The 10,428-nt window shown below is 35.0% G+C and overlaps 1 annotated feature.

Moving 5' to 3' along the window:
• Positions 1,753-2,952: an enhancer, noted in NCBI's record as "CDK7 strongly-dependent group 2 enhancer chr3:19167677-19168876 (GRCh37/hg19 assembly coordinates)". NCBI's record gives its function as "activates an origin of replication core promoter dependent on BRD2, BRD4, P300/CBP, MED14 and CDK7 cofactors, with strong dependence on CDK7, by STARR-seq in HCT116 cells {active_cell/tissue: HCT116}" and the evidence as "EXISTENCE:reporter gene assay evidence [ECO:0000049][PMID:35650434]".

Here is a 10,428-nt window from a genome sequence, read left to right on the forward strand (position 1 = left end):
ACACACTCCCTGCCTCTTACCACAAAGCCAGCAAGAGTTGAGTAGTCAGCAACAGCACTCAACCAGTAGAAAAAATAAAGATACTTAAACAGGTACTTTTCAAAAGAAGATATCCAAATGGCCAATAAATATTTTAAACTATGTTCAACTCATTAGTAATCAGTAAAATGTGACTTAAATATAAATGAGACATGACTAGGATGTATGAAACTAAAATAACTGACAAATGAAGTGCTTACAAGGATGTATAAGAATAGGAATTCTCATAAACTGTTGAGGGGGGGTGTAAATGATACATGTGGAAGATTGTAATTTTTAATAAAATTAAACATATACCTGCTCTCTGACCCAATAATTCCAACGTATATGTTCCAAAGAAATGAGTCCACACATCCACATAGAAACTTCTATGAGAATGACATGGCAGACTTAGTAATAACAGCCCAAAGTAAGAGACAATCCAAATGTCAATCAACAATAGAAAGGGAAAATAACTCATCATAAAATCATATGATGCAATACTTTATAGCAATGAAAGGAATGAAATACAACTATAGACAACATCACAGATGAGCCTCACAATCAAAATTTTAGTGAAAGGAGCTAGACAGAAAAGAATATCTACTGTATGATTACATTTTTATAAAGTTCAACAACAGGCAAAATTAATCCCTAGTGATAAAATCCAGAAAGAGATAAGCTTTATGGAAGGGAGTAGGGTAGTGACTGGGAGGGCATATGAGGTGTGCGCATAATGCTTTATTTTTTTATTTGCCTAGTAATTACCAATTTGTTCACAATGTCATAATTACTTAAAAGGCACGTGTATGATTTGTGAACTCTCCTACATGTCTGTTAGAGTGCAATAACATTTTTTATTGTTAAAAATAATAAAAATAAAATAAAGCAAAGTAAAGCATATTGATCTCCAAACTTGAGTAAAATCAATTACTGTGTAATTGGCAGCTATTTATTGATCTAAATTTTTTTCCTGGAAACAAACATTCTGTATTGGTTAAGTGGCTGTGGCATGGGTTACATTCTTGGTCTTGATAAGCAGCCCTGTGTAGTCGGTTCAGGTTAAATTAGTCTTTGAGAGAGCAGTGCCCAGTGGGCAGCTTCTCTTTGCTCTTTTCTAGACTTTTTACTTGTTTACTTTATGCTCCCTTCCTGCTGAGATGTTTCTGGTATTAACAACAAATAAATGACAGCTGTAGCCTATGAAAAGTAATACCTTAGGTAATTCTTTTGTGATGAATCATCTGATTTTTTATTAATTCTTTTCCTTTTTGATTCTAAGAGAAAGCAGAGGGCATCACCTGGAATCCTGCCACTGATGAACACTCTTTGCTGTTTACTTGCCAATAATTGAGGTATAACAATAGCAGTTATAACAATAGCAATGCTCATTTGCACAGCATTTTAGAAAACATTTTTTAAATGAATTATCTCATTTGAACTTTATATCAGTCCTGTTAAGAAAAGTGGAGCACATGAGAACACATAGACACATAGAGCGGAACAACAGACACTGGGTCCTGCCAGAGGGTGGAGCATGGGAGGAGGGAGAAGATCAGGAAAATTAACTAATGGGTACTAAACTTAATACCTGGGTGATGAAATAATCTGTACAACAAAACCCCATGACACAAGTTTACCTGTATAACAAACTTGCACATGTACCCCTGAGCTTAAAATAAAAGTTAAATTAAAAAAAGAGTAACAATTGCAGTGGATTGAAATATGTTTAATCCTTATGCTTACTCTGATTTTAAAAGAATAAAGCTCACTGGTCACCTTGAGAAAAAAAAAAGAAAAGTGGAGCAGACATTATTATCTTCATTTTATTCAGGAGGAAACTGAGTTTCAGATATATGTTGAAGAATAAATTCTTTATTTGAGACGAGTAGGGAAAGATGAAGCTTTAATATCACTGAATTTTTGTCTTCCCAGAAGTAGATCCTGAGCCAAGTGCAAAGAGTTTCTTTGGAACAAGAAAACATGACAAGGAAGTGGAGAAATGAGAGCGGCAAGGTAAATCAACAAATAAATAATTGGTTATCAAATCATTTACCACTGCGGGCTAGTAGTATTTAATCCTGCTCTAGGAACAAGAATGATATTATCCTAACCCAAAGAGCAAAGGAAGTAGGAGCTAGGGTATTTATCCACCCACATTGAGGCCTATATTAGTCCGTTTTCACACTGATATAAAGAAATACCCGAGACTGGGTAATTTATAAAGGAAAGAGATTTAATAGACTCACAGTTCCACACGGTTGGGGAGGCTTCAGGAAACTTCATGGTGGAAGGTGAAGGGGAAGCAAGGACCTTCTTCATATGGCAGCAGGAGACAGAAGTAAAATTAGGGAAAATGACAAACACTTATAAAACCATCAGATCTCCTGAGAACTCACTCACTATCATGAGAACAGCATGGGGGAAACGGCCTTCATGATGCAATCACCTCCCTCCTTCAACACTTCCGGATTACAATTTGAGATGAGATTTGGGTGGGGACATAGATCCAAACCATATCAGGGCCATTAACTTTCTTCCTCTTCTGTCCTGTTTGCATAGGTGGACAAAGGGGATTTTGGAGACCAAAAAAGTCCTCAGGCAAACAGATGCAGGTGCTAGCAGTTGGAAGTCAGGCCCAAGAGCTCTGATGCGTGTGATAATATGGGAATTAATAAGCCTGCTATATTTGGTAAATAAGAGAATTGTCTTATCATTTGTGATTGCTTTCCTTGCATCCATTTCCTATCTCTTTCTTCTTGTACAAGAATTTCCTATTACTTTTAGGGACCAAAGGGTGGATCAGGCAACTTAAGCTGGTCCAAAAAGAGTTATATGTTAACTTTTTCTGGATCTCTGGGAGAAAGTTCCCACTTTATCCTGATGAATGTGGAAAAAGAAGCCTGTAGCCCCAGCAACTGCTGGAGTGATGTTGACATTATAAAAGAAGATAACCTGAAGATGAAGCTTATAAAGGGGAAGATAGAGTGGAAACACAAACCCAGTTTCTTAATGACATTATTAATCCCTGGCTCAAGACTTACCTGATTCAAGCTGAAAAACTTGACTTTATGATTAAGTAAAATAATTGATTCCCTTTAGTGTTTAAGCAAGTTGGAGTCTCTTATGTTTTCACTTACAATGAAAGAAATCTAATATTTAATCTAAAATAGTGTTCATTTGAAGAAGCATTATCATTTTACATACTACTGGGGAAAAAATACTTCCAATTAAACTAAGAATCAATGACTTACAATCCCTAAGGTTTTGAAAATTTTATATGTTTTGAAAGATCTCTGTTAGACATTTTTAGATGTAGATTTTTAAAATATAAGTTTTGGGGGGTATTCATTAGAAGGAGTATAAGGGTGAGAGTCAAATATGCTAGTTACGAGAATCCTAAAATGTGTTCCCACTCAGAGTCCAACTCTTCTCAAATCATTTCAATCGTGAGCATCATCAGTGCTCATATGTTCTTACTACATCTTCCTTGGCAACATAACTTTTCTTAAATTGAAAAACAGGAAACCGATCTGTTTTCTGTTACTACAGAAATCTAGAAATGCTAAAATTCTAGCATTTAATATAAATGGAATAATACTACACTATGTACTCTCGTTTCTTTATGCACTTTTCTAAGACGTTCCATGTTGTCACATGTAGCAGTAATTCATTCTTTTTTATTACTGAGTAGTACTATATTGTATGTTTATAGTTTTCTATCTATTCGTCCAGTTTGGAGCTACTGTGATTATACCCACTATAAGCATTTGTGTACAAGATTTTCTATAGACATGTATTTTATTTCTATTAGGTAAATATCTAGGGATGGAACTGATATGTCATATAGTAAGTATATGCTTTACTTCAACATTACTGCAAAATTTATTCCAAAGTGCTTATATATTCCCACTAGTATGTATGAGACTTTTAGTTGCCCCATTTTCTTCCCAACATGTGATACTGCCGATCTTTTAAAAAACAATTTTGCCTTTCAGGTGAATGTATAGTGATATCTCATTATTTTAATATGTGTGTTCCTGATAATTAATAATGTGTTTATTAGCTGTTTGTATGTCTTATTTTGTGAAGTGTTTGTTCAAATATTTTGCCCATCTTTTTTTAAATTGGGTGTTTGCCTTTTTATTAGAGTAACGAAAGTTTTAATGTTTACTGGAGACTTCTCTCTATCAGATATCTGTACTGTAATTTTTTTTTCCAATTAGTGGCTTTTCTTTTGCTTTCCATAGTAATGCCTTTCAAAGAGTAGTTTCTTTTTTATTTTGATTACATTTAATTTATAATTTTTTTCTTATAATGTTGGTACTTTTGTAACCTATCTAAGAAATCTTAAGAAATCTTCTTCTTTTTAACTCTATATTAACAAAGATTTTCTTTGTTGCCTTTTAGAAATTTTGTAGTTTCAGCTTTTATGTTTAGATCTATGGTCCATTTTGCATTTTTTGTGTGTGTGTCATGTGTGATAAAGGTCAAGACTTTTTTTTTTCCAAACAAGTTTCCAGTTGTTTGAGAATTGTTAGTAAAAGATTATACTCTCCCTATTGAAATATTTAGGTACTTGTATTAGTCAGAGTTCTCTAGAGGAACGGGACTAATAGGATAGATGTATATATAACAGGGAGTTTATTAAGGAGTATCGACTCACAGGATCACACGGTGAAGTCCCACAATAGGCCATCTGCAAGCTGAGGAGCAAGGAAGCCAGTCTGAGTCCCAAAACCTCAAAAGTAGAGAAGCAGACAGTGCAGCCTTCAGTCTGTGGCTGAAGGCCTGACAGCCCCTGGCAAACCACTGGTGTAGGTCCAAGAGTCCGAAAGCTGAAGAACTTGGAGTCCGATGTTTGAGGGCAGGAAGCATCCAGCATGGGAAAAAGATGGAGGCCAGAAGACTTAGTCAGTCTAGTCCTTCCACGTCCTTCTGCTTGCTTTTATCTTAGCTGCACTGGCAGCTGTTTAAATTGTGCCCACCTAGATTGAAGGTGAGTCTGCCTCTTCTAGTCCACTGACTCAAATGTTAGTGTCCTTTGGCAACACCCTCATAGACAAACCCAGGAATAGTACTTTAAATTCTTCAATCCATTCAAGTTGACACTCAGTATTAACTATCGCAGTACTATAAACCAAAAATTAAATGAATGTCCTCCAACCATCTGAATGGACTTCCTCCTCAGCCAGGGCTCTTTTAAAATTTAACTTGAAAGATTGGTTCAAGCCATGACAGAAGCGGGGTTGGACGTTTCTCTTTATACCTCTCTGGCATTAACGTCCACACAGACTTTAAGTCTGATAAGGGACATTTTACAACCTGTCTCTGAAGCCTGTTACCTGGAGGCTTCATCTGCATGATAAAACTTTGGTCTCCAGGACCTCTTATCTCGACCCAGACATACCTTTCTATTGATCCCAGGTCTTCGGTTAAACTAAACCAATTGTCAAGCAGAAAATGTTTAAATCTACCTATAAGCTGGACCCCACTCCCCTTCAAGTTGTCCCACCTTTCTGGATCAAACCAATGTTTTTCTTAACTGTAATTGATTTAAGTCCTATCCCTCCCTAAAATGTATAAAACCATCCTGCATCCCCAACCACCTTAGGCACAAGTTCTCAGGACCTCCTGAGGGCTGTGTCACAGGCCATGGACACTTATATTTGGCTCAGAATAAATCTCTTCAAATATTTTACAGAGTTTGATGCCTTTCATCGACAGTACAAATATTAAAATTTAGCCTTATATAAATGGATCTATTTCAGTAGTCTGTTATTTTGTTTCTTTCATTTTTATGTCTGCCTTTACATCAACTCTATACTGGATTATTGGAACCATATACCCTTGGGAGGGGTCCTGGGTGATGGGCTATATCCATATGATAGCTTCCATTTAAAATGCCTCAAAGAGCTAAGATTTAAAAATCCTTGAATAACTAATGTGAAGGTACTCCCCAATACATAAGGGACTGGATTTTGAAGAAAAACAAAATTTAGTTTAGAGTTACCGAAGTTTACATGTAGGATACAAAATGTATACTTAGTATACAAAAGAGAGACTGTGTGGTCTCTTTTTTGCCATCTAGTGGAAAGCTACTGTGATTCAGTTCTATTTGAGGCCTGTATTTGAAAATTGGAAGGAATCTCAGTTACTGTGTAGTAAAGCAGTTCTCAAACCTGGTTTGCATTGCCTAGGGAAGTATATATTTCCCAATAATCAGGCGTTCTCCACCATTTAAACATATATTTTTTACTTTATTACCACCTATTATATTTATACTAATATTTTGTATAACCTTTTTTAAAACAATTTAAAGTGTTATAGGTAGGTAGACAGACATGAGTGGGGAGGAGCGGTCTCTCCCCTCACCCACTAGAAATGTCAGGTGATGGTTCGGCAGTAAATCTCATTGCCTCTCTAAAAGTGATAAATTGGCAGCCGGTGCCAGGGAGAGGCCATTTCCTGATGATTCATACCTGTGAACATTAAAGTGTTAATTAAAGGCAGACCCCAGGGAGAAGCATCTTCCTGGGCATGCACATTAAGAGACAAAATGGCGAAGTACAATCTTCCGGGTACACTCCACTGGAAAAAGGAAAGAAAGCTTCAGACAGGCATGTATATAACTCCCTAAACTCACTCAGTATGTTCAGTTCCCAAGGGTAGGAGAGCACCGCACATGAGGAAAGCCTACCCTAAGAGATGAATCATGGGAAAGAGGCGAGCCTAAGAAGTCCTAGGATCAAAGGTTAAACGCTCTTCTTTTTTCTCTCTTGGGCCTCAGTGCCCACTTGGATCCCTTCCAAGCGTTCTTTCCTTTCTTTACTGTTCTAAAGCCTTTTTAATAAACTTCCACTTCTGCTCTGGAACTTGCCTCAGTCTCTTTTTCCGCTTTATGCCCCTCAGTGGAATTCTTTCTTCTGAGGAGGCAAAAATTGAAGTTGTTGTAGACGCCTACAGATTCGTCACCAGTAACTTGGGGTAATTCAGATCTCTTCTTTTTTTTTTTTTTTTTTTTTTTTTGAGACGGAGTCTCGCTCTGTCGCCCAGGCTGGAGTGCAGTGGCGCGATCTCGGCTCACTGCAAGCTCCGCCTCCCGGGTTCACGCCATTCTCCTGCCTCAGCCTCCCGAGTAGCTGGGACTACAGGCGCCCGCTACCACGCCCGGCTAATTTTTTGTATTTTTAGTAGAGACGGGGTTTCACCGTGTTAGCCAGAATGGTCTCGATCTCCTGACCTCGTGATCCGCCCGCCTCGGCCTCCCAAAGTGCTGGTTCAGATCTCTTCTACTGCTAACAAAAGAATGTAAACATTAAAGAATATTTTAATCATTAATAAAATAGGAAAATAGTTTTCTAATATGTATTTTAATAATAGATAAATGTTAAATAATGTCATCTTGGTATAATCTGAACTCATCCAACAAACAACTCATAGTATCGTACTCTGAAAAATACTGCACTAGAGACCTATAAAATGTATGCTGCATGTCCTTAAGGGAAATTACCACAGAAAAGTGAGCAATATTGAATCTAGTCAATAAGTTTCATTTTGGATATCAAAGATTTTGAATGTTTATGATATGATTTACGTGTCCTAAGAGTTCAAGACTTGGACTCAAACTCAAGTCCCTTGATTCCAAGTCCAGTGATTTTCCAATTATACATTGGAAAAGGTTCCAATGTTTAGAAACCTCTTTTCTCTGTTTACCTTCTGAAACATGTATATTCAAATTATTATACATAGTTTGTATAAGAAAGGAGCCATTATCCATATTAATATAATAATATGAAAAAAATCAATTTTAAGTTATGTTTTTGATTTTGTGAATTTATAATCCACAAAAATCAGTAAACTTTATTTTTGTCATGTTTCAGGAAGCAATTAAATGAAACTTGAAACTTTGAACATGACAAAAAAATTTTTAACTTAATGACCAATTATTTAAATATTAATTTAATTATTAGCTTTTAACTTCTAATTTTACCTGAATGCAATCAATGCAACTAAGTACTATCTATCCTTTAAATATATTAATATACATTTAAGTAAGTCATTCAAGGACTTATTTTTAAAAGACCTAATCCTTTAAAAAAAACAAAAAAGGATAGGAAATAGTGGCGACTTTAGCTACTTTCCCCAAAACTCTTCTGCATATGCTTAAATAACCATTCAACAGCAATTAGAATAAAACTGATAGCTGTTCTTGTTTTTTTGTTGTTATATATATATGTGTGTGTGTGTGTGTATTTGTCTTTGGCAAAGAAGAATGACTAAGCTTACAAAATGCTATCAAGGGAAGTGTTTAACTGTTGAAATTGAACTTAATATAAAGGATCTACAGTGTGGGCTTGTTGATTAAAAAAATTTATTTATTTCCAAAATTCAAATAAACTCACACTTCTGCATCATACTCTACAGAAGCAAATAACACATTGAGGCAAGGGACCTGCTGCCTCATCAAGCAGTACTCCACTCCTTCATTCATTCATACGTTCACTCATTCCTCATTGAGGCAATCACATCTCTGTGGTACCTGAATAATTTTGTGAATTGTTTTCATTTTGAATTATTTTGTACATTAAGCATACCCATGATATTGATCCTTGTGTATTTTTTAATGGAAAGAATAAGCCATTACAGCCTCACCCTATCAAATATATTTTAGTATTTCCAATGATTTGTATAAGTTGTTTCTTTGGATCTGCTCTCTAACTTCCCAAAAAACATTGTTATTGTCACATAAAATTATCAGCTGAAAGAAAGAAAGGACTAGTGAAAAGTTAACTATTAATTATATTCTTTTAAAATGTATCATTATTTTGGAAAATAATATCTCTAAAAATCTCTGCTCTACAATGTGAAAGTGTTGACTTTTTTATTTTAAAAAAAATCCATAAGCTTAAAGATACAAAATTCTAATAATTTTATTATTTCATTAACTTCATTATTTGAATGTTTTCCTTTTTCCTTTTGAGTAAAACTCAAATGTGATTGATTTATCTTTAATGTTATATTTTATGTGCGTCTCTCTTAGACAGAATAAGACAGCATATAGAATCAGATAACTGTATAATAGAATGATCAATTAATGTGCATGTAGAAGCTACTGAGCTTTTAATTCTTGTTCTTATTATAAACTATGTGCCTAATAGGCTTTATTGAACTTTCCATCTGTTTTCTCTCACATCTGTAACTTAAAATGAAAGCTTTTGTTAAAGAAACCCAGAATTGTTCTTTTCTAATTTTTCTTAGAGCTTAAAATATTCTCAAAGTGTTGTAACTTCTAAATTCCTTGATACTATTTAGTCATATCTGGATTTGCATATTTCCTAAGGCAGAATCTTCAAGTCCTCTAACTTTACAGTCTCAATAACTCTTTGTCATCCTTACTATATATTCTACATTTAATAGGCAACAAATATATATATGGTCCGTACTTAGTTAAATGGTAGGGGACACAAATAATAAGATTAATAGATAGAAAGTGAAGGTTAAACAACAGGTTATGTAATAACTCGAGGTAGTTTTATAAACTGATGTTGCAGATATTCTGCAATTCACTAGATACTGTTACATTCTCTACTTCAATTTTTCTTCTTGAGTTCTGCTAACCTCAAGGTAGCCTGAATGCATATACCAGGGAGAATGATCTGAAGTGACAGCCATAACTTTGAATTTTTAAAAAATTCCTTTATTAAAAGGAAATATATCACTGTATATTAATACAAAAATGAAGTTTCTGGAATATGTGCCTTGTTTATATTATGTCTTCAGAAATAACTTTACCACATACCATGAATTATCAAAGGCACATATATGCCAGTTTGAGAAGCATGGAAGGTGGTCTACAAAAGATTAACTGCCATAAATATTTTATCAGAATAATTTAACTCAAAAGAAAACGAGGAAATTTACCTTCCATGAGCACATGAGAGATTGTGCATCAAGAAGTACACCATGTTAATAGTCTCAAAAATATTGATCCAGGAAAAAGCAGAGCTACAAAAGCAAAGTCACAAGAGTATTCTACTAAGACAATTTAGATCTAAGTACTCTTTCTTGACTTGGCTGTTTGACTTTGGAAAAGTCACAGCCTTTTATAGTGTGCCATCCCTCCCCTGCTAGAGTCACTGCATAGCTTCTAGAGTCTTCTCTAGTTTTGCCATCCTGTGATTCTAAAATTTACTGAATTTCTTATCATTTTACAACATTCCACTTTGAATTAACAAACACAGTAGAGTGGCAATGTTCCCTAAGTGCCAACCTCATCACCAGAAAGTGTTTTGACAGTGTAATTTTAAAACACGTTTTGACTGCCTGCTATTTTGAGGCTGCTGCAAAGGGAAGAAAACAGCATTTATTTAGCTACTATAATTTGCCACTCATTGCATACTCAGCAAT

Source organism: Homo sapiens, chromosome 3 (genome assembly GCF_000001405.40).
Source record: "Homo sapiens chromosome 3, GRCh38.p14 Primary Assembly".
NCBI lineage: Eukaryota > Metazoa > Chordata > Mammalia > Primates > Hominidae > Homo > Homo sapiens.